The sequence below is a fragment of the Homo sapiens genome, chromosome 10, assembly GCF_000001405.40.
Source record: "Homo sapiens chromosome 10, GRCh38.p14 Primary Assembly".
In the NCBI taxonomy this organism is placed as follows: domain Eukaryota; kingdom Metazoa; phylum Chordata; class Mammalia; order Primates; family Hominidae; genus Homo; species Homo sapiens.
The window spans coordinates 103,610,512-103,634,212 of NC_000010.11; the positions used below are offsets into that span (position 1 = coordinate 103,610,512).

At 54.4% G+C, this 23,701-nt stretch overlaps 1 protein-coding gene across 11 annotated transcripts in view, besides 1 other annotated feature; it reads right to left on the reverse strand.

Annotated features, from left to right (window-relative positions):
• SH3PXD2A (SH3 and PX domains 2A) overlaps window positions 1-23,701 on the reverse strand; it is a 261,550-nt gene that overhangs the window by 16,485 nt on the left and 221,364 nt on the right. For 6 of the 11 annotated variants that reach the window (NM_001394015.1, NM_001394020.1, NM_001394018.1 and 3 more), the window contains 5 exons: window positions 16,578-16,691; window positions 11,959-12,042; window positions 6,686-6,803; window positions 2,342-2,679; window positions 1,070-1,119 (listed from right to left, as the gene is read on the reverse strand). In NM_001394015.1, coding sequence (NP_001380944.1) covers window positions 1,070-1,119; window positions 2,342-2,679; window positions 6,686-6,803; window positions 11,959-12,042; window positions 16,578-16,691 — 704 coding nt within the window. The remainder of the gene's footprint in view (window positions 1-1,069; window positions 1,120-2,341; window positions 2,680-6,685; window positions 6,804-11,958; window positions 12,043-16,577; window positions 16,692-23,701) is intronic. The other 5 variants (NM_014631.3, NM_001394022.1, NM_001394021.1 and 2 more) reach the window with 1 other exon arrangement.
• Window positions 10,588-11,088: an enhancer, noted in NCBI's record as "H3K4me1 hESC enhancer chr10:105380856-105381356 (GRCh37/hg19 assembly coordinates)". NCBI's record gives its function as "activates a minimal SCP1, AML or CMV promoter by ChIP-STARR-seq in primed H9 embryonic stem cells {active_cell/tissue: H9 hESC(primed)}" and the evidence as "EXISTENCE:reporter gene assay evidence [ECO:0000049][PMID:30033119]".

Sequence of the window (23,701 nt, forward strand, 5' to 3'; positions counted from 1 at the left end):
TCTCATCTCCAGGGATGAAATCTTTAAAAACCATATTTTTATGGAGGGCCTACTCTTCCATAGACTGGTGCCATCTCCCTTAGCCAGGGCTGATGTCACTGACCACAGTAACTCTTGTTGCTAAGCCCAGATGTGACTTCAGAATCCTCCTTAACCCAGTGCACCAGGTAGTATTACCAAGCAGGCAAGAGCTGACATAGGAAATGGAAACCTGTTTGCTAGCCCCCCACATAAATCATCTCATTTCATCCTTACAACAGCCCTAAGAGATGGCTAGTACTGTCCCGTCTGATAAATAAGGGCACTGAAGCTTGTAGAGGGCAACTGGCTTACCTACAGTCTCTCCGCCTCTAAGTGTCAGAAGTGGAATCCGAATCCATGCCTGGCACTTGAAGACACACTCTTTCCACTACATCCCACTGCGCTTACTAACAGTTCTTTGTTCCAAGGCTCTCAGCCTGCCACCAGCATCGCAGGCACCCCAAGCCCTGGCCCCTGATGCGTATCTACCTGCCCGAGGGTCTGGACACCAGGAAACCCCACCCACATGAACCAGGGACCCTGGCAGTGTTAACCTCTTAAAGCTGGGGCGTGAGCCACTCCTTGCAACTCACACTCCTCCCTGGAAGACGTTCACTGATCTGCCCTCTGCCCTCCCAGACTCTGCCATCCACCACCTCCACTGGGCATTCCTGACCAGGGAAAGCTGAAAGGCTTCCAGGCTAGCATGGACAGGAGCCCCATTTCCAGCCTCTGGCAATGCCCTGGCTGGACACTTTTGCCGGGCAGTCTAAATGTTTATGTCTGCCAATGCAGTGGCTGGGATGGATTTATTTAGCTTTGGAGTGCAGTGTGTTTCCGATTATAAACTGTCCAGCCAGGCCTCCAGGAAGGCTGGGATCTGCAGGCTTCCCTCCCTGCCCCTAGCCCCACAAAACTAGAAGCCCCAGCAGGGCTCTGGAAAACCCCTGGATCAAGAGGCTCTGCCGCAAGATAGCCAATTGATCGGGTGGCTATAGCGCATTCACAGAAAAGGAAGGAAAGGGGAGAAGAAATTCAGTACACATACCAGGCTGGATTCTCTGCGTGGTGGAGGTCTTGTCCGTAGGTTCGGGGAGCCTAGAGGAAGAGACATGGCTTCAGAAATCCTAGTCAGACGATGGGCAACAGTACCCATACCTGCCTTCCCTAGGTGAAACTAACTCCTGATCCTTCAAGTTCATGCTTTAGCTCAGCCTTTATGAAGGACTTGACACTCTAAGTCACTATGGGCACTGTGGTTGGGCTTTTTCAAGGGGAAACTATAGACCTTTACCTTGGCTGTGCTTCCAGGGGATCTATGAACACTCTAAAATTATGTGCACTTTTCAAAATGTGCAGCTATGTGGGCATTTTTCAGGGTAACGGGTGTATAGATTTATCAGGTTTTCAAAGTTAGGAGCAGAGACCATGTCTGTTTTTTGCTTACTATTAAATCCATAGAAGCTAGCATAATGCCAGGCAAGAGGAGGTGCCCAATAACTGTTTCCCAGCTGGTTCCCTAAAAGATTTCAGGCACGAGAGCTAACTTAACCCAGTGGAGCTAAACTAAAGAAACAGCTTTCCTCCAGATTTTAAGAATGGCTGGACACAAACAAAAGCTAGGTTCCTATAACATGGAAGTTTTAAGCCTCAACAAAAGGCATTATTGGGCCAGAGATGGAGGGTGCCAGACTGCCTGGAGTCTCCTGTAGAAATGAAGATGATTCTTGAAGAACGCCCTGTTGAAACTGCCTGTGTAGAGTGGTAAAGCCTTAGCTCCCAAGTCTCTTAGGTTTCCAGTAACGAGTGGAAAGTCATAGGGAAGGAGCTGCTAAGGCCCAGAAAGACGTTTCTCTACAGACTGTCACTCCATAGGGCAGCCCTGCATATAGCACCCACATTCAACAGCCCAGGGAAATGTGTTTTTTTGATTTTTTAAAAGTCAGCTACACATCATCTATCTTGATTTATAAAGCCTTTACCATAAGGAAAAGAAAACATTTCTTGCTCTTGGAACGCGTGTATCTGCAGAGTGACCATTGCTGGCTCTCCACTAGAGGAGGGAACGCTACCACCCACATCCTCATGTGATCTAGCTTCCGTGGAGCAGCTGGGAGCAGTTGAGTCATCATACTCCTCTGCCTTCTCCACTCCTGTGATGAGCATGACACAAGTTGACAGAGTGAGGGTCAAAGGCCAGTCTGTAGCCCAGGAGGAAAACGCCATGGGGGTCCTGTGCACCCCCCTGGCTTTCACGGCACCCATGCCCATTCTCTAAGGAGCTTTGCAGTGAGGACCTAGAGGTCAGCGAGGCTCTTACTGATCTGGGCCCGCTGAGGGGCAATCCTGGCCACAGCTGGAGAGCCCTGGGCCAGCCTGGAGACAGTCCTGTCAGGAACGCCCACGGCACTGCCATTGGAGGCATTGCAGAGGATGGGCAGGCTGATCTCCTTCTTGGCAATGGGGGCCTCATGGCCCTCGCCTTCGGCTGGTGGAGTTTCCTTGTCCCCAGACGCCTTCTTGTTCAGCAGGTTGCTGATCTCCATGATGTTCCCAATGATCTCCACTGGGCCGGCCAGGTTCTTCTTCCGGGTTGGCAGGTCATCCTTGGCCTTCTTCAGGTAGGATGCTGGCGCCCAGCCCTCTTTGCCCAGGTATCTGTGGGGAGGAGCAGGATGTGCTATCATTAGAGCACTCTGACCTCACAGCCCACTCCCAGGCCCTAGGATCCATCTGGCCTTGCCCAGTGGAGCCTTCCCTACCATGTTCTGCAAGGCTTGGCAATCCCACTACTCTGGAGAGAAATGGCACCGAGGGTAGATGGAAAAGACACCCAGAACACCAATTCCCACTGCCCCCCCACCATGCTCCTTTTTCTTTGCCTGATCCCTCTTGGGGTGGGCTCTCATGTTCTGCAAAGTCAGGCAAATGTGGGAGCTTGGGATCAGATTTATCAACTTTTGGGTTGCCCAAAGGAGGACTTCATAATGGCCTGCTACTTCCCAGTCAGTTGAGGATAATTAGAGAGATAAGAAGAAGGTGTGGATGTGGTATGTAGAGGTAAATGGCCTGTAGGAAGGGGAGGTATTATTAGAGAGGGAATTGACTCCAGAAGGTGAGAGTCAGGCAGTCTGAGTTCTAGTCTGTGGTACCTTGCACAAGTCCCTTCCCTGGAGCTCAGTTTGTGTCTCTTTTGCAAGATGCAGGGATAGAGTCGCTGCTAAAAATGTACCCAGAAGGACAGACATGTTGAGATCAACTAAGCTGTCTCCAACATCTTAGCTGGAATGGCTCCTCCATGCCAGATGACTGAATGGGACAGCTGTGGTGCCACTGCAGGGAGAGTAGGTGGATCCTCTATAGACTGTCACAGACCAAGTTCACAAACCAGGCTAAATTTACTGTAGTGGAACAAAGATGCATTATTCAATAAGTGATTTGGGGCTGGGCGAGGTGGCTTACACCTGTCATTACAGCACTTTGGGAAGCTGAGGCAGGAGGATCGTTTAAGGCCAGCCTGGGCTACATAGCAAGATCTCATCTCTACCAAAAAAAAATTTTTTTTTTTTTTAATTAGCTGGGTGTGATGGTGCATACCTGTAGTCCCAGGTGCTTGGGAGGCTGAGGTGGGAGGATTGCTTGAGCCCAGAAGTTTGAAGCTGCAGTGAGCTATGATCATACCACTGCACTCCACTCTGGGAGACAGAGTGAGACCCTGCCTCCAAAAATGTAAAAAGTGATTTGGGGAAAACTGATGACCCAGTTAGGAAAAACAAGTAAGACAGACACTGGCTTTATACCATATAGCAGAATTAACAAATAGAAGATTGACATAATGTTGGGGGTTGAGAAAATCTAAGTGGGGCTCCAAAAGCAGAAACCATAAGTGAAAAGACAAAAGCACATGACTAGATAAAACTAAAACCAAAGCAAAACAAAAACAAAACAAAACAAAAGGAAACAAAACCAAAAGCTCATAAACAAAGGCAAAAGGCAAATGATAGGGCTGACTTAATTTCTGGTGATTCGATGACTTCTGAAAACAAGCTTTTCCTTTTTTCCTCGTGGTGTTGAGTTTTCACCCAAACCCATGGGGACTTCACTTCCTGGTCCAGTAGTCGCTGGCCAGTGCCCCCAAGTCTGGGTTGCAATGTCCCCATCTGCTCCCTGGACACATCTGGCTCTTTGGAATGGCTCCTCCACACCAGATGTCTGAACACCTCCCCCCCCGCCCCGCCCACCGTCTTCCTGATCTGACCTTGTTCTTGGGCGCTCATTAGGTGGGAGAAAAGGAATATGAAAGCTGAAGTTCCTATCAACATGTCTGAGCTTTGCGAGAAAGCTCAGGTAGGAGGTGGCTCCTTACGTTCTGTCACAGAAACATGCAGGCAGGCTGAGCCAAGCTCGCCTCCCCAGGGATTGGGAGGCAGAGGTGAGTTAACACGTGGGTGGGAGTCAGGGGCCTGTCTTTGGCTCCCTGATGCAATGGGTGCAAACAGAAGCACAGAATTTTAAGGGTGGATGGAAGCAACGAGTAAAAATACCTAATCTTATGTGAGCCAACAACTACGGCTCAGAAAAGCAAGGGGGTCACACAGTGAGCGCTTAGCAGCATCTGGCCCAGAGCCTGGTGCTCTTGCATCTCAGAGAAAAGACAAAGATGAGCCCACTGGCCCTCACTGACGATTTTTCTACATGGACACTGTAGAGCTATGGGGAGAGGGGGCTCATGGAGGTGACGGTCAGGCCTGCTTAGGGCCCCGAGTGCTGTATTTGTGTTCCTTCAGCACTACATGGGTAAAATTAAGATTCCAGGAGGAGAAACGCAAGGGAATCAGGAGTGCCTGTGTGTGTCTGGGTCCAGCTCTGCTCACATCTGCTTTCCAGCAATGGAGAATGAAATGACTCCAGCGGGAAGCAAGCTGGAAAGGGCGCGATGGAGAGTGCGAGGGTGTGTGTGTGTGTGTGTGTGTGTGTGTGTGTGTGTGTGTGTGTGTGTAGGGGTTGGGGGAGGAGAAGAAAGACAGGAAATGAGGATCAACGTAGAGCCTGGAATGTTGGGAAATGGCATATTTAAGGGGGTGTCTGGCAGCCTTTTTAAGGTGGAATCTTTTCAGCCGGGTTTTCTCAGTCCAAGCTCCTGCTGGCTGTAAGACTAGGCCATGGGGATAGGAGCGGACTAGAAGCAGCTCAGAGTGACTTTGTTGGTCATTTTAGAAAACAAAAAAATAATAATAAAGCAGCCTTGTAGATAAGCTCCAGGCAAGTGAGCTAGGCCACCAGCCTGCCAGAATGTTTCCTGGCTTTCCCATGTTCAACTCATGGCTGGTGGGTGATTGGGTTGACTCTAGTTTCCATTGCTCAGAGAACATAAAAGTCTAGGGGCACTGGCTTTGGACAATACACATCCAGATGCACAGTCCCATCCCACCCAATGGGACAGAAAGGGACATCTCAGCCCTCCTGACTGATATGCACCAGGGCTCCGGGGTGGGGCGGGGTGGGGGCGGGGTAGGGGCGGGGGGTGTGGTGCGTGCCATGGAGCCATGTTCCATCAGGTCAGACTAAGGTGCAATCTCCATATGGCCAGTGACCTCAGCATGGACTAGCCTTTAATGCCATCATGTTGTACCATGTTCTGAGCAACTGTCCCACGAGTACTCACATCCCCTGGGGCACATTGGTGCCACTGCACAATCCTGTCCCCTCTGTCGGAGACCACCTAGAATGCATGTCCTGCCCACAGTGGATCTGGGGTCCCCAGAGCCCAAGGATATAGGACTATCCCTGTCAGCTGGGTAACTGGCAGAGAAGAGAGAAGGTGGGCAAAGTCATCACAGCTGAGCCAGTTCCAAGGACACCAAAAGCACTTACTGAGATCAAGTCTCCTGGAGCATTTCTTGAGAGCAGGGGTCCTGGAAGGGTAGGTCTTGGCCAGGTAATGGTGAGTGAAACCCACGGGATTGTTTGCCTCCAGCAGGTCAGGAAAGACCCCACTTCCCTACCCATACCATTCAATAGGATTCTACGCTGGGAACTGTGATTAGGCCTGGGAGAGGGAGGGGCAAGAGAAGGAAGAAGCCTCCGATGGCCTGAGCCGAGGCCTGACTTCTGCTCCAGCCCTTGCAGCCAGCCCTGCAGATTGGACAGCCAGTCCCCATCCACCAGGGACGTGGCTGCAAGAGGCCTGCACCTGCACCCGCCCCCGCCCCCAGCCCACCTCCCTGAGTACTGAGCCTGGGCAGCAGAGGTTGCCTGCTGGGACCTCAGCAAGGCCTGCGGACGCCAGTGCTCCAGGCAGCCCTAGCTGTGGAGCACACCAGGCAGCCAAGGCCGGACACACAAAACCAAATTCAGATGTGCTGAGCTCTCTTGGCAGATACGTGGGAAGGGATTGCACCACAGCCTGCAAGCTGACCCGGGGCCTCTGTGCCCCGCTGGCTGTGGCTCAAGCTCTGCTTTACGCGTCCCGGGAGAAAACTTGCAAGATGAGCATTCTCTGGTTGAGCTATTCAGCTGTGCAGAGGTGCAGCAGCCCAGCCCTGTGCCGTGGGCACAAAGCTGTCAGTATCTACCTGCCATCAGGTGGCCATGGCCACTTTGCACTCTGCCCAGGGCCCAGGTGGGCGAGAGGCATCTCGTTCATAATGTAAGGGTTCCCTACCTGATATACCACCAGCCTTCCAGATTCTTCCGGATCACCTCCACTGTGACGCCCTTCTCAAAGCCAATCTCGTCCTTGCTTTGGCTGGTGTAAGGCTGCACGGTGACATACTTCTCCTCTGGGGGTGGGAGCAAGCAAGCAAGATTATTTGAGGTCGGGGTGCAGGTCCTGCTTCCTGTCCCCTCCTCCTGCCCTGGCCTGGCTTTTGCTCAACTGCTTGCCAAGAAGGTCCACTGGGTTGGCTCTGGCTTCTCCAGGGGAGGGAAGGACCAGGCCCCAGAGGTGGCAGCAGGGAGACCATGGGAGCAGAGGTCACTGCTGCTCCCAGTGTGTGCCAAAGCCAGCCAGGACCCAGGTTGTCAGGCAAGGCCCTGGGAGCAGGGAGTCGGCTCTCCCAGCCTGATAATGGCGGCCAGGCTGCCGGGACCTTGGAGTCCACAGGGCTCAGAAGCTTGCTGGGCCGAGGGCAGGATTAGGAGAAGCCGGCCCCTCATGAGGTGTCCTTGCATGCCTTGAGGCCCCACGGCATACCGCTTTTCCTCGAAATGTGCCCTGTTTCCATCTGTGTCCCAGATGAACTCTCCTATCCCTGCCCCCAGCTCAGCCTCTTGCATCCTTCCTCTGTCTGACCTTCAGAGGTTCTAGGGACACCTCCTCGGTGAAGCCTTCCCTGAGCACCCACTTCATCCATTAACACCTGGTCATGTAATCTCCCAAGAGGAGTCCATGGAACCCAGGTCTCATGGAAGCAGTTACATGTGTTTTGTTAAGACAAGGGTTCGATGGCCAAATGAGCTTGGAAACACCAAGCACAGCACAATCAGGCAGCACTGGCCCAAGTGGCTTCTGCAGAACATGCTGTGCCAACCACGCAGCCGAGGCCTAGCCCCTCTGGAGGGCAGCCTGCTCTGTTTTCAAGGATGTCACTTCAGGGTCTTGCCCAAGGTCCTCCCGAGGTGCTGGGAAAGAAGTGCCTTGTAGACTCTCAGGAAGGCTTGGGAGGGCAGGTGTGGGGAGAGTGGGGCACCATGGTGCCTCCCCTGGTTTCTTTCAGCCTCTCTCCTGGCAGGAGGCCTGGGTGCCACCCGCTTGGGTCCTTGATCAGGCTTCCAGGAGGGTGTTTCTTCCATGCCTGCTGGGGTTCAGCTTTCCCTGTCCCAGGAAGCCCCTGATAGGTAGACCCCAGAGCTGAGTACTCCCTGGCTCTGCTCCTAGCTGGCTGGCTAAAGAGTCCTTGCCTCCTGCCTGAGACACTCCGTAGAGGGCTGCTCAGAGTGGAACACTCCCCACCTCACCTTCTGGGGCAACAGGAGCTGAGACAGGAGGAGGAAGTGGCAATCTGGCCATGCCCTTCTGAAGGGTCACCCTGAGCCACTGTTGTCCTCTCTGGCGTGGGTGCTCCCCAGGGGCTGAGACAGTGCCTGGCAGACAGCGAGACACTGTTGACTGCATCACGACCAGGCAAGGCTGAGCAAGGGTACCGATGGGAAGTGCTGTGAGCTCAAAACAGCGGGATGCTGGAGCAGACTGCTGGCCTCTGGTCTCTGGGACACCCACCCCTCCTGGCTCCCAGCTGTGACAGCCACCCCCTGGGCTCCTTGGCTGGATGCTGGCGGGCAGCCTGCCTAAGACTGGTGGCCGTGGGGGTGGGAGGCAGCTGCCACCCCAACCCCCAGCTGTGGGAGGGCCATCTGTCCACTCTCCCCTGGATTATCGGGGCCCTGTCTGCAGCCCTGTGCTGAGCCGAGATAGCAGCTCCCTTTGGGGGTGGTTGTGGCTGCCCTGCCAGGCTGTGAAGACAGAACTGATGGGCTACTAGCCAAATTCAAACGGCTGCCCAAAAGCAGAAGGAGGGTGATGACCCATGGGAGCCTGCAGGATTTTTCAGTACGCCCTTCTCTGCTGCAGAACTTGGTCAGCATCGACTCAGGGAGGGCCTTACTCTGGAGGCTTTCAGATTCCAACCCAGCCATGCTTCAGACTGCTGCCAAGGCGGCCTGAGAACCCTGCCCAGCCAGATTCTGACTCGGCCCTTTGAGAAGTTCAGGGCTCCACAGTCCAACTCTCTCTGCTCTCCTGCCTGCTCCTGGTTCTGCTCCATTTTCCAGTGAGGCATGGCAAATCCCAGCTCAGCGGCGGCCAGAGGGGCAGCGCCAGGCTCCGGGAATCCAGGATTCTGAGGTTAGGATGAGGCGAGGCCTGGGCTCCACATTTTGCCTTTGTTCAGCTGGGCTATTTTTAAAAGTCTGTGGTTCGAGCAGGAAGCCATCATTAAGGTTTTCCTAGGCAAGGTTGCATTTGCAGGGAAAAATGACAGCCCTTCTCGTGGGAAGATCAGAGGAGCCCTGCCCTGCTTCATGGCAGAGAACAAGGTCTAGCCCATCATGTGGGCTCAGCCTCCTGGGCCACTAGGGCCCAGCCCCAGCCTTCGCAGCCTCCCGGGGTGCGTGGAAGACAGAATCCCGTGGGCCATGTAAGCTCAGGCTTTCTCCTGACCTCTTGGGGGTGGGGGCAGAACCAGGGATATCAGTTCTGGCCGGTAAAGTTGAGCTGCTCCTGCAAAAGGTTCTTGGGGACTCTGGGGCTGCAGCAACCACAGATGTCCAGGAGTTCACGTGCTGCTGGTGAGAGCTCCTGGATGGGAGGCTCGTCCTGCCCCGGTCACTGCACAGGTTGCAGGGATGAGAACCCAGAGCCCTCCTCCCTGGCAGGGCTAGGCAGGCAGACCAGGCCGTCCCAGCTCCTGGGTTTCCACCCAGTTGGCTCAGATGGCAGAGGCATGGACTTTCCATGTGGACACAGGCCTTGTGGGTCTCAGGCCTTCCAACTCACAGGTGTCCCAAGGAAGAGAGACTTGCCTGGGCCACAAACCCCATCTGGGGGCGCCAGACAAGAGGAGGCCCAGACAGACGGACATGGCCTCAGCGGGCAGCTGCATGATTCAGGGTGGTCAGGGTCTTGGGAAGAGATGTCCCGTCGGAAATGGGGTTGAGGGAAGGGAGGCTGTGAGCTCCAGTGGGATCCTCCGGGCTTCTGGGAAGCACTGGGGCCGTGAACACTGACCACGCCACCAGGAGACGGTGGCAGCCTGCCCTGGGGAGGGCTGGCCAGGCGGTCAGCCGGGTGGGTGAGGGGGATAGGCCTGCTTTGGTTTTGGAGGCAGGGGCTGGATGTCCTGTAGTTTCCAAACCACAGAAGCCTCCTCTTCCCCAACACTTTCCCCTCTGTCAGCAGTCTCCCCACTCCCTTCCTGCCCCCACGACTTACCCAACCCCACTGAGAGAGGCCTTTTGGTTCCAAGGGCCTGGCTGGCTGAGGGAACGGGGAGCGGAGGCCGTGGGGAAGCTCCGCTTTTCTCTTGTCTAGCTCCTCCACAACCTGCAGCCTGCCTCCCCGACCAGCTCTGCTGTTTGCAGCAAGCGTCTCCAAGCCAACTCTCTGCAAGTTTTTCTTGGCTGCCTGGTTTAACTTAGCCCATCAGGCTGAGGCTGGGACATTATGTTGTTTAGGTCTCTTATTTAAGAGAGAGAGAGAGAGAGAGCAAGAGCTGGGGGCTTATATTTGCTTAGGTATGGGTGACCAAGAATTAGGCATTTCATTGCGTATTTGTGTCTCCACATATCACTGTATGTCTGTGACTGGCATATATGTGGTGCAAGGCGTTGTGTGTATGAAGCTGTATGTGCCCTTGTGAGTGTTGCTGTGGAGGAATGGGTGGCGTATGTGTGTATGTTGCGTATATGTGTGTGTGTGATGATTTTGTGACTGTGTATGATGCATTTGTGGTGGTATAAACAGAAGACACATGGCACGGTGTATGCGTGGCTGCATAATTGGAATTGTGTATGTGTATTGTGAGTGGCTGTGTGCCTGGGACTGTGGATATGTGGGTGTCAGGGAGGCTGGATGTGACAGGGCGCACAGTCGTATCTGTGGCCATGAGGGCTGTGCATGTCTGTGGGGTTGTGGAGATGGTCGTGTTTGGGGCTCAGTGTGCAAGGGTGTTTGGAGCCAAACCTTCATCCGTGCCATGCATTTCCAGACTTACGTCCCACTCTCCTTTGCCGCCAAGGCTTGAGCTGCGTCCCAGCTTTAGGGTGGCCATTGCTCTATGTCCAGCCTGTTCTTGCTGTTTCTACAACTTGACCCCCAGCCCTGTGTCAGCCCACAGGGTCCAGCCCAGGCTGTGCCCTCAGGACAAGCTGGACTTCTCATGGCCAGTGCTCTGTGCCTGATGCTGAGCCAGCCATAGGCTGTAGCCACCTGTGTCCAGGCTTCCTGCTGCTTTGGGCCTGGGGCAGACACCAAAACATGCTCTTACAGTCATTTAGAACCAAGCTGTGAGGGTGGGGGTCACTGGGTGTCCCCGCTTCCAGAAAGGCCAGTGTTTATGATACACCTCTCTCTGTGCCGTCACTGTGAGAAGCACACACACCCTGCTCCATGCGGGGCTGGCCAAGCCCTGGCCCAGGGGACTGCAGATGTTTAAGGGTTTGTTCAGCAGCCCAGCCCTGGGGCTTTGTTCCACTCCCTTACCTCCCAGGTTCCTGGATGCTAGAAAGATCCTGGGCGAGAAAGCTCTAAACCCACAAACATCTGATCAGCCCATGTGCTGGGCCTGGGGGGCTCCCTGGACTCCCCTGGATCAGGCCCCTCCTGAAGCCCCAGCAGTTACTGCTCCTGGCTGGACCTGACCCTCAGCAGAGCCTGTTGGGCTGCACCCTGATGCCAGGCTGGGTCTGGCTTTGCTCCCTTTCTAGTTTCCGTGGAGCTGGCAGGAGGAGCGTGAATGTGAGCCAGTCCTTCTTTCTGCTTTGTTCCCAAGAAACTGATAGAACAACTTTGGCCGAGGGAGCATTTTCTCAGAGGACAGGGGCCATGGAGGATGGGGGAGTGGGATGGCCCCAGCAGAGGGCTAGACACGCTTAGCTCCTTTAATCTGCAGCTTCCAGGGCCAATGTGGCCTTTCTTAAAGACCCGAAACCCCCTTGTCCCCCTCCTCAAGCCCCTGTACCTTTTCAGGGAACCCACAACTGTGTTCCATGACCCTCATACCCAGGAGGTTGACAAAGCCAGAGCCACCCCCAGTGCCACCCTGATTCCCAAGCAGGCCCACCCCACACCAGCTGCAGTAGGTGAGAAGAAAGCCTGGCCCGTGAATCTGGGTGAACAAGGAGGCCACAGGGCAGAGAGCAGAGCCCGGAAAGAAAGAGCAGTGTTAGCGAGAGACAGGCGGTCGCTGCGAGGGAGGAGAAGCCAGCTCCCGCAGTCACCTCGGCTGTGCTGCCTGTTGACCATCCCGCCCAGGGTCCACCGGCGATCCAGGCGCCGCAGATGGGCCTTGCGTCTCTTGGACACTGGTGTGGGAGATGGCGATGGAGCATGCGGCCAACAGCAACCGGCGGAGAGAATGGAGATGAGGATGAGATGGGATGGGGGTGGGAGGAAGGGGCACAGGGAGGGGAGGCCCACACTTCCAGTCACCATCACCTGGACTGAACCAAAGGGCACGCCCCTGTTGGATGGGGCAGATATGACAGGTCATGGTCGGCACACAGGGAAAAATTCAACCAAACTCCACAGCGTGTGCCCCTGAGCCTAGGAGTGGGCTAAAGCCTTTAGAATCCCAGCACCTTAGAGAAAAGAGGGTCCCTAGCTCCAGCCCAGTGCAAGACAGCCCCTCAGCTACAGCCTCCAGGGATGGTGAGATCAGTGTCCCTCACTGCTGGGCGGTGCTGATTCCCAGGAGGGTGTGGGGTCCTGCAACATCTGAGCTTATGTCCACTCGCTCACTGAGTACTGACTGTGAACGTGCTACCTTGGACAGGCACCATGCTTGGAAGAATCAGTGTGCCCAAGAGAGACTTGGATCCCTTCCTTGCGGGGCTGAGAGCTCTCGCCATTCTGGGAACCCTTCCCTGTGTCTCTGCATTCCCAGGGCCTAGCACAGGGCCGGGCACACAGCTGGGTCCCAGGAAGCACCTGCTGAACGGAATGACACAAGGGTGGGTGCCAGAGGCCCTGGCTCTGCTCCTCCTCTCAGGCCACCCATCGGGACATCTGATGACAGGGGCCCCCTCCCCAGCTTCTCACTGCTCCTGACCCCGTGCCCTGAGCAGCATCCTGCACTGCTCCTCTGGTGGCTGCTGCTTGGCTCTGAGCCCCCTGCACCCTCTGCTCAGACCCCAGCTCCAGATGCCTCTGTCTTCCTGTGAGACTCCCAGATGGAATGGATACTGGACCAGGGCTCCAGGGTGCCAGCTGGCCTCACTTCCTGCCACCACAGAAAGAAGGTGCCAGGCTGCCCGGGTCTGGGGGTGGGAGAGGGGCCAGTGGCTGGAGTGAAAATAAAACCGTCCCAGACCACCGAGGCCCTGGGAAAGCATTTGCTTTCCTGGAAGAAGAGGGACCTGTCTGACCTGCTTCTTATAAGGACAAAAGGGTAGGAGGTGTGGACTCCAGTCCAGGCCCCACTGCCAGCAACCTGTGTCACTCTAGGAGGCCAGCCACCCATCTCTAAGCCTCTCTTTCCTCATCTGTCTTACAGTGACACCACCTGCCCTGGCATGAGCCTAGACAAGGGGCTGAATGGGCTCTGGGAAACATGAATCAGGTCCTGTGCAAGGCCTCCTGGTGGGGCAGGGAGAGGTGGGGGAGGTGTGTAGGGCTTCTCTGCAGAGATGAAGGGGTTCAGCTCATGGCCAGACCAGAGGCAGCTTTCACAGTAAGGTGTTGATGTCGGCATTTACTCTGTGTGCGAGGCCCAGTTTAAACCATGTACAAAGATCATCTCACTTGGGCCTCACAAAAGCCCTATGTGGTTGGCATCTTACAAATGGGGAGACAGAGGCACAGGGCTTTAAAGAACACTCTGTGTCAGGCAGCATGTGAATCCAGGCAGTCTGGCTCCAAAGCCTAGACTCTTAGCACAGACTCTGCACCCCGAGCTATTGCTGTTCCCCTAACTCTGCTGCCCCTTGGGCTGCCAAGCCCTGGGAAGAAGGGGATGTGGGGAGGGAACAGGGTCTGGGTGCTGGGGGATCTGCTCACTAATGGGGTACACGCCTTTGGTACAGCAGCACAGAAGACCGTGGTCTGTTCCGCATGTCCCAATATGCGCCCACTCTGGAGGAAGCAGGTCCATACTGGTAGATGTGGGACACAGGAGCAAAGGCAGAGACTTGGGTTCTGGTCTTGGCTCTATCACAAATGAACCCGAGGGCTTGACAGAGGTAACACACCTCTCCTGGTTCACTGAAGCACCCTGCGAATGTCAGGCTTGGACCCGCACCTCTGTCAGTGGACAAGGAAGTCTCAACTCCCACCCTTCCTACCATACTGAACTCCCACAGCACACCTGGGTTCAAGAGCAGCATGAACATACATCAAAGTGTCTCATGATAAGGACACACCAGAACAGCCAATCATCTTTTCTTCCTAAAGTAATGAAGATGAGCTATTAGGAAAGCTTTGATAGGATGCAGGCTTCCAATTTCTGTCTACAGGGCTCAGGGCACCTATGATGGGATGGCCATAGCGCTGGGGTAGAGATGGCTGGAGAGGGAACTAGTGTCGGCCAATCTCTTGGCCATGTGGCTGCAGGTGCAGAGAGACTAGCGGACACACCACAGCAGCTGGGGCCTTAGGCCCAGGGGACCCATCCCTGAGCCCTTCTGTAGATCTGGGTGGGAAATGCCCAAGATGTGACGGTGGAATCCACAGCTATCCAGAAGTTGCCAGGAGAATTGGCACACAGGCCCTGTCAGAGGCGTGCGCAGGAACCTATTTTAGGAGAATCGCCCTGGGCACGCATGCACGCGCACACACACCCACACCCACCCCCCACACACATACACCCACACCGCCTCTGAACGCAGAATCTGCACTGGCTGCCTGATTCTTCCTCCATCAAGGTCAAAATCCTGCCCAACCCACTACTACTTGTTCTGTGCGCAAAGCACCTGCCTTCTGTTCCAACCAGGCTGGCATCTGTGCTCCACACCTCTCGTGCGCTTTCCTGCCCTGGCCTTCTCCCCACTCAGTGCCTAGGTCCTCCATAATCGACCCAACAGCTCCGCTCTGACCTTCCTGGTGCAGCCTTTTCAACTGGGGCTCTGATTCATACACGCACTGCCCTAGAGCTGCCTGTACTGCTTACGAGCAAAATGCTTCACAGAGAGGTGTGTGGCACAGCAGAAAGGACCAAGGGACAAAGGAGGTGGACTAGGGTCCAAACCTGATAAACATCTTGAAGCCTCAGTTGCCACAGCTGGAAGGATGGGGATGGCCATAGCCACAGGGTCCTCCCAGGGTGGGGGCAAGGGCATTTCAGGACCTGGTCTAGCATCTGGTACTTTGTGAGCTCCTGCTGTTTTTGAGAGGCCCTGGCATGCCCTATAGAATGTGGAACTAGGGGCTGGGCACTGTGGCTCATGCCTGTAATCCCAGCACTTTGGGAGGCTGAGGTGGCAGATTGCTTGGGGCCAGGAGTTCAAGACCAGCCTGACCAACATGGCGAGACCCCGTCTCTACTAAAAACAAAAATTAGCCAGGCGTAGTGGTAGGTGCCTGTAATCCCAGCTACTCAGGAGGCTGAGACATGAGAATTGCTTGAGCCCAGGTGGCAGAGGTTGCAGTGAGCTGACATTGTGCCACTGCACTTCAGCCTAGGAGACAGAGCAAGACTCTGTTTCAACAACAACAACAAAAAGAATGTGGAACTAGGTAGGAGGTGAGGCTGGGGACTGCAGGCATATGAGACCAGACCTAGCTCAGGGGCCAAGACTCTCCCCTGCTGCAGAGGTGCAATGGAACCAGAGGGAAGACAGGTGCAGGCTCAGCCCCAGGGCTCAGGGAGCAGCCCAGCCTGAACATGCGGGCCCTTCCCAATGGGGCCTTGTCCCTGGAAACCTGTCACACAGTGGAAGCACATGGCAGGGGCCGAGGCTCTGGTCAAGGGGCTGAAGTAAAGCCTCGACATAGGAGGAAGGGCGAAGCCCCAGCTGCCCGCCGAGTAACCGACATTTAGGGGAAGAATGAATAAGGAGCTGGCACTTGGCGGCTGCTTACTTTGGCCTGGCAGCAGAAAGCAGGCCTGGAGGTGGCCCGAGCACCGGGTGGTGGCCTCAATCCCTCTGGCTTTCAGACATCCATCTGGACCATCCCCACCAACCGTTAGGGAAAGAATTCCCGCAGCCAGGCCATGGGAGGCTTGGAAGCCATTAGGAGCAGGCAGCCAAGAACTGGGGGTGGCGCAAACGGACTGGGCTCAGGCAGCCTGCTCTAGGGAGTACAGAAGCCACAGATAGGCCCAGGCCAGTGCTGGCTTAGAGGGCAGGGGCAGACTCTTTGAAATGCAAGGAGAAAGACCCTGAAAAACCTCACTGAGTAGTTTTTAAGTGTTTGGAATTAAAAAAAAAAAAAGAAAAAGAAAAAAAAAAAAAGGAAGGGCTGGGTGCGGTGGCCCACACCTGTAATTCCAGCACTTTGGGAGGCCAAGGCATGTGGATCGCTTGAGCCCAGGAGTTTGAGACCAGCCTGGCCAACATGGTGAAAGCCTGTCTCTAGAAAAAAATACAAAAATAAAAAAAAATAAGAAAAAGGGGGGTGGGTGGAAAAACAAACCTCATGAAGCCAAAGCTAATCAGAGAGGCTGACTGTGTAGGGGTCTGAGCCATCCCTCAGTTCCTGAGCCCCTGAGACAGAGCAGCAGGGGTCGGACTGGGGTGGGAGGTGAGCTTTTGGGCCAACCTTACTGAGATGGGATCCCAAGGGAGGAGGCTAGGATATGGCTCAGCTCACTTTAGGGGTTCTGTTGGTTCTAGGGAAAGAGTGAGAGAGCTGCCTCCAGAGGCCGCGTTGCTCCCTGCCCCTTGGACCTGCAAGCCCTCACCTTCTCCAGTCTTAGAGGTGTTGATGTCGGAGTCATCCCGAGTACCATTCTGGGCCTCCAGGTAGGTGGCAGGGACCCAGCCCTGCTCCTCAGAAGTGCTCACGAACCACCAGCCTGCAGGGAGGACAAGAGAGAACAGGACTGTGAGATTCTGCAGGGTGGCAGGGGTGGCTCGGGGGCCAGGACAAGGATGGAAGGAGAGGCACAAGAAGCGGAGCATGGAGCCAGATGGCCTGGGGACCCAGCAAATGCCTGGCCCAGCTCCAGCCTCGAGGAGCCTGCGTCTGTTCTAAGGCAGAAACGACCAGCACACTTCCCGAGAAGTGGGACCAATAAACTGTGAGCCACACTAACAAATGTCTGATGGAAAATGAAATAGACATAGTGATATGTCCAGTGTGTGAAAATTCATCTTGCAGGAAAGGCCAAGGGAGCTCCGGCCATACAGAGAGACCATTTATGGTCTTTGAAACCCATTAGGATGACTGGTTTGCCTGGAGCTTGGCTGCCTTCTCAGCTTTCAAGCTAAGTGCCTCACAGACAGTCTCTAACGGTCAACGGTTGCCTTTTCCCCATCGCGGGTCAGCGGTACCTTCGCATTGGTGCCACTCACAGCTGCCCTTTAAGTGTGTTCACGTTTCAGTCGCGGTAAGTGGGCACTGCATCCTCAGCTGATGCTTGACGATCATGGCCACGTGATAAAGCCTCATTCATCTTATTTGTTCATTCATGCAAAGTCCTCTGAGCACCCAGGTCTTGGGACTCCACTAACTGCCTTTGGTCCCTTCCGAGAAGGTCCTCTTCACACGGTCCTGTCTTCCTCCTCATCCCTTCTTCCCTGACACTTCTTTGCCCCCAAAAGTGATTTGGTACTGATTCTCTTTTCTGCTCATGGCCCAGTTCTCCATTTCCTGTCTGGAGAGCTCAAGGCTTCTCCCCGGGCAGCACTGGAGGCCCCGTCACCATCCACCGCGGCAAGTGGCCGCCCAAGGATCTAGAAGGCACGTTGGTGGGAGGAGGCTCTCGGGTGCCTCCAGGTGGGCTCAGCACTGGGAGGTAGAGAAGGCTCTGTGATGGCTGCTGTGAAAACAACGGAGAGGAGGGGAAAACCGCCAGGTACCACTGCACAGTCGCGGGAAGACCTCAAGGACTTAGAACCCCAGCTCATCTCCCAGGTCTTCAACTAGGTCCCCACCGCCCCACATGACAGGTCTGGGCTTGCAAACAGCCAGCAGTCTAGTCCTGAATGCCCTCTGTCTCCTACCCTTTCTGGGGAGTTCCACAACCCTCTGCTTGCAGCTCTGCAAAGCCCATGAAATGCCCTGGACCAGGAGTCTGGACTCTTGAGGTCCAGGCCTATGTGGCTCAGGGGCCTCAGTTGGGTCACTGCCCTTTTACGGTCTCGGTGTCCTCCTATCTGGAGAGGGGTTACCTCTGAGCTACTGGCTCAAGCACCATGATCCAGGGCCCTGTGGGCTGCCTGGACAGCCCACAGATTCTGTCCCTCTCTGCCTGGGGTGAGAGAAGAGAGGTAACAGGATCACTTCCGGAGAACCCCCGGTCAGGCCCTCTTGCTCCCTGTGCCCATCTCCCTCCCCTAGGCTCTGCCAACCCTGGAGACCACAACCTTCTCTTATGACACAACCCATACACACCTGAAAAAAGGAAGCCTGGGCCAGTGAGTCACAAGCCATCAGAGTCAGGAAGAACTGGGGATATGCCCCCACTGCTGGTGAAGCAATGCCACTGGTCCAATTCCTGTACCTCCTGCTCTTGCTCCAAACCCTGTGTCTCCCAGATTGCCCACTTCTCAGACTGTCCGTGCCCGGGCCACTTACTGCCACGTTTATTTCATAAACACGTACATAGGTGAATGAGACACTGTGGCACTGAGGGGCTGCAGAGCCTTGATTGGAGCCTAAGCAGGCTGGCCTCTAACCCCTACACTCTGCTGCCTGTGTGGGACCAGGATAGGCAGGCAATCTCCAGGGTGAGAAACCCACACCAATTCTCAGGTAAACTCTCTACCCCTGAGACCTCCTACGCTGGGGACATTGGTCTGAGGCTGGAAGAGGGCAGGTGGGCATCATCGGCAGGCTGGATAGTTCTCTGGATCACAGAAAAAGGTAGGTACCTCTTAGGAGCGAATAGCTGAAGTCACTGAGCAGCTCGTGGTGACAGGCAGGTGCTGGAACCCACTAGTTGGGGACTGGGCAGCAGCCGCTGGCAGGTCAGAGACTTCTGGACACACCACTAAAATTTATCATCATTTCCCTGGCCTCTGGGGCTCAGTGGTTATTAGAGCACCAGATATCTGTACTCACTCAACTTCTGGGTGATGAGACTGCTTCCAGGTGGCTTGTAATTATGGGAACTCAGGAAGGGTCCAGACCATGCTTGGGGCATGCAGTACCCTTGAGAGCTAGCTACAGTGGGCAAGGGATGCCCACACTGGGGCCAAGGTCAGGCTGGAGGAGGTGGACTTTGGCCCCTAGGGAGCCCCCACCTGACCTCTACTTGCACCTTGGCTGTTCTGACATTTGGATAAACAAGAGGCGCCATTCCTTCCACATTCGGCTATTGGGAGGAAAGCCAGTAGGACCCATTTGTTGACATGGTGGAAGGGGTTTCACTGTCTACTTCCCTTGACCCAGGAAAAGCCCAACCTTCACTAGCTAGTCAAGGAGTCCCAGGGCTCTGTCTCCATGAGAATGCCCAACAACCTTTCCCTGTCTACCCTTTACAGAGACATCCAGCAGAGGCAAAGGGCCTAGGCCTGTCCCCCTGGGGAGAGGAGGGGAGGAGCAGCAATGGATGCAGGGAGCATTTCAGCTGCCTCATTGCCCTGGGCCTGGAGTGGATACCTGCCTTCGTTCCCTCTGCCTGATTCAGGTTGGGAAAATATTACTGAGGCTTGCATGTCAATTCCCCTGCCTTTTGCCTGAAGGTGGCTGGGGGTCACCCTCATCTTGCCCACAGCCACTTGCACATTCTGAACCCAGCATGGAGCACTGAGAGGGCTGCCTGGAGCAGCACCACCATCCTCCCTGATGCCCAGGCCACCATGGTTTGGTTGCTCAGAAGCTGTGGCTGATGGAGGCCCCAAAACAGCCAGAGGGCATGGACTTTGCAAGGGGCTCTGCCTGGGATGTTTTTCCCCCTTCTTGAGCTTCTGGGGGAGTACTCTCAGGAACCCCAGCAGCCTCTGCCAGGAAGCACCAGTCCCAGCTGTTCTCCCACAGATGCTGGCTGGAGGTCACAGAGCAGGGCTTTCCTGTCTCCCTGGGCTGCATGTCATGTGACCCTGCCTCCTTTACCACAGATGTGGGCACATCTGGCCACTCATCTCCTGATTAGTCTGTCATCTCTCTGGACACTGTTGATGGTTCCAAGCAAAGCCACTCAGGGGCTTTTTTAGGAGCAAACGTGGGTGCTTTGATGATCTAAAACCTGAGTCCCACAAAACTCAGGAATTGCAGGGGGCATATGGGGTGAGAAGCCTGAGAATTAAGTCAATAAAGCAGCAGCAGAGTCAAGAGATAGAGAGCCAGAAGCGCTGGCTTGTGCCTGTAATGTCAGCTGCTTGGGAGGCTAAGGTGGGTCACTTGAGGCCAGTTCAGCCTGGACAACATAGCAAGACCCCTACTCCCTTCTCTTAAAAAAAAAAAAAAAAAAAAGGAAAAAGATAAAAAGGAGATGGAAAGTGACTCAGTCCTGATTTCCATCATTTGGGCTCCTGGTTCCAGATGTGCTAAAGCTAAGCCATCCCATTAGACTTCCTAGCTGCAATGAGTTAACGAACTTCCTGCACCGTTTACCTTACGGTAATCCCCCTTATCCACATGGTATACATTCCGAGACCCCCAGTGGATGCCTGAAACTGCAGATGGTACCAAGCCCTTATATATACATTTTTTTCCTATACATACATGCCTATGAAGAAGTTTAACTTATACATTTAAGGCCAGGAGTTCAAGACCAGCCTAGGCAACAAAGTGAGACCCTATCTCTACCAAAAATTTTAAAATTAGCCGTGTGTAGTAGCACACACCTGTAGTCCTATCTACTTGGGAGGCTGAGGTGGGAGGATCAGTCGAGCCCAGGAGTTTAAGGCTGCAGTGAGCTATGATTGTGCCACTGCACTGGAGCCTCGGTGACAGGGCAAGACTGCCTCTAAATAAATAAATAATTTATAAATTTAATAATAAATAGAAATTTACAAGTTAGGCACAGGAGATTAACAATAATTAATAAAATAGAACAATTATAACAATATGCTGTAATAAAAGTTATGTGAATGTGGTTTTTCTCTCTCAAAATACTGTAATATTTTCGGACCACGGTTAACCTCAGGTAGCTGAAACCATAGAAAGCAAAACTGCAGATGGTTGGGGGGACTACTGTATCTGGAGCTGGGTTTCAATCATTTGAACAGAGACAGTCCTTGCTGATGCCACCCCTAACAATCACTAAGGATCATGATTGAAGGTCCCCCATCGTGAGCCAAATCTGAGGAACAAAAGTCAACCAGGCACCTGCTGCCACAGACCTCAGGAGGGAAGGACGGAGCCCACCAAGCCATTCTGGGCATGTGGTCACTCCCCAAATTTCTGCTTACCAGGATGTAACCCCCAAGAATCCCAAAGAGCTGTCACCACAATTCCCAACTTGGAGTCACTTACAGGAGGCTCTTGAAAGCTGAGGCTCTCACATGGCTTCGCAGGTGCAGGTTCTAATGTCAGTAGCGGTCAGGTGGGGGTGGCTCATGCCTGTAATCCCAGCACTTTGGGAGGTCAAGGTGGGAGGACTGCTTGAGCCCAGGAGTTCCAGACCAGCCTGGGCAGCATAGTGAGATCCCATCTCTTAAAAAAAAATGTTAATAGCGCACGGTTCTGGTTCCCATGTCTCATCCTGACACTTCCCACGCTAACCACCCTAGGTGGTGGTATGTGTCTGTGGTCCCTGCTACTTATGAGCCTGAGGTGAGAGGATGGCTTGGGCACGGGAGGTTGAGGCTGCAGTGAGCCGTGATCATACCACTGCACTCCAGTCTAGGTGACAGAGCGAGACCCCACCTAAAAAAAAAACCAACCACATACCCTTGTCCACACCTCCCCCAGCACACTTCCTCTCTACCACTGCACTCTCAGATCCTGTGGGAAAGAAAACGGTGCCTCTGCATGCATTGGAGGGGAGCCTGGAAGCCCCACGGGGCTCACTAGCTGATGCCTGAGCCCTTCTGGGGAGCTGAGCCACATCCAGGGGTTCAGGTTTTGCTTGCTCCTCAGTGGTGCACCAGTGACTTTGGTCAGGAGCCCTGGTTGCCACAATTGACGTCTGAGCTGCTGGCACCTGGCAGAGGCCTGTCAGCAGCCATGGGTGGGGTCAGCGCAGGGAATCTTTCCAAGAGGCCCAACAGTGTGACTCACGCCAGGGTTCCTGGAGGTCTGCATAGAGTCGGGGTGGGCGCCTCTGCTCATGTTAACCTGTGCCCACCTAGGTGGTATTTGAGCCTGTCTATCTTTGCTCAGTGGAGTGCCCATAGCCAAGGTAGTGGCAGGCTCTTCTCTGCAGCTGTCATCTCCCCTGGCATCAACAGAGCCTGGGCCGGGCGCGGTGGCTCACACCTGTAATCCCAACACTTTGGGAGGCCAAGGTGGGCAGATCACAAGGTCAAGAGATCGAGACCAGCCCAGCCAACATGGTGAAACCCCGTCTCTACTAAAAATACAAAAATTAGCTGGGCATGGTGATGTGTGCCTGTAGTCCCAAGTAACTCGAGAGGCTGAGGCAGGAGAATCGCTTGAACCTGGAGGTAGAGGTTGCGGTGAGCTGAGATCATGCCACTGCACTCCAGCCTGGCGACAGAGCGAGACTCTGTCTCAGAAACAAAAAGAACAAACCTCCCCCCGGCCAAAAAAAACCAAAAAACAAAAACAGAGTCTGACACAGGAAGGACCTGAGACCTGAAGCCACACAGCCCCACTCTGCACATGCTAGAGATGACATGGCAAGCCCAGGCTGGTGAGGATAAAAGTCTCAGCCCCAGCTGGGTGCAGTGGCTCAAGCCTGTAATCCCAGCACTTTGGGATCCAGGCAGACGGATTGCTTGAGGCCAGGAATTTGAGACCAGCCTGGCCAACACAGTGAAACCCTGTCTCTACTAAAAATACAAAAATTAGCCAGGTGTAGTGGCCCATGCCTGTAATCCCAGCTACTGGGGAGGCTGAGGCATGAGAATCACTTGAGCCCGGGAGCCGGAGGTTGCAGTGAGCCAAGACCATGCCATTGCACTCCAGCCTGGGTGACAGAGTGAGACTCTGTCTGAAAAACAAAAACAAAAACAAAAAAACGCTGGGCGTGGTGGCTCACGGCTGTAATCCCTGTAGCACTTTGGAAGGCCGAGGCAGGCAGATCACTTGAGGTCAGGAGTTCAAGACCAGCCTGGCCAACATGGTAAAACTGTGTCTCTACTAAAAATACAAAAAAATTAGCCAGGTGTGGTGGCGGATGCCTGTAATCCCAGCTACTTGGGAGGCTGAGGCATGAGAATCGCTTGAACCCGGGAGGTGGAGATTTCAGTGAGCCGAGATCATGCCACAGCACTCCAGTCTAGGCGATGGAGCAAGATTCTGTCTCAAAAAAAAAAAAAAAAAAAAAAAAAAAAGACTCAGCTCCAAGTCTTGACGGCACAGCGGGAGAATAGGATTCTAATAGGATCCTAAGTTGCTATTAAATATCTTAGGGTGAGGAGCTCCTGGTCAGCAGTTAATGTGGTCCAGCCACCATAGAAGCTTCTGGTGCAGCAGAGATGTTGAGATGGGAAGAACTCAGAGACAACCCTGGGCACATCCCTGGGCCACCCACACAATCTGAGATACAGACCATCATGCTGCCCTGCCCAGCGGGCCCCTGTGCCGTACATTCGGCTCCATAGCAAGTTTTGCCCAGCTCTCCTTGTGTGCTGAGGCCTGTGTGGCAGAGGTAGGAGCGGAGGCCAGGCCTGCTCCGCCCCCGGGAGCTTCCAGCTGCCTGTGAGTGCAGACCCATCCTCCATCCGGGATCCCTGGCTCCTGGGGAAGGAAAGGAGCAGGACTTACATGGAAGGCTTCCCCAAGAATGAA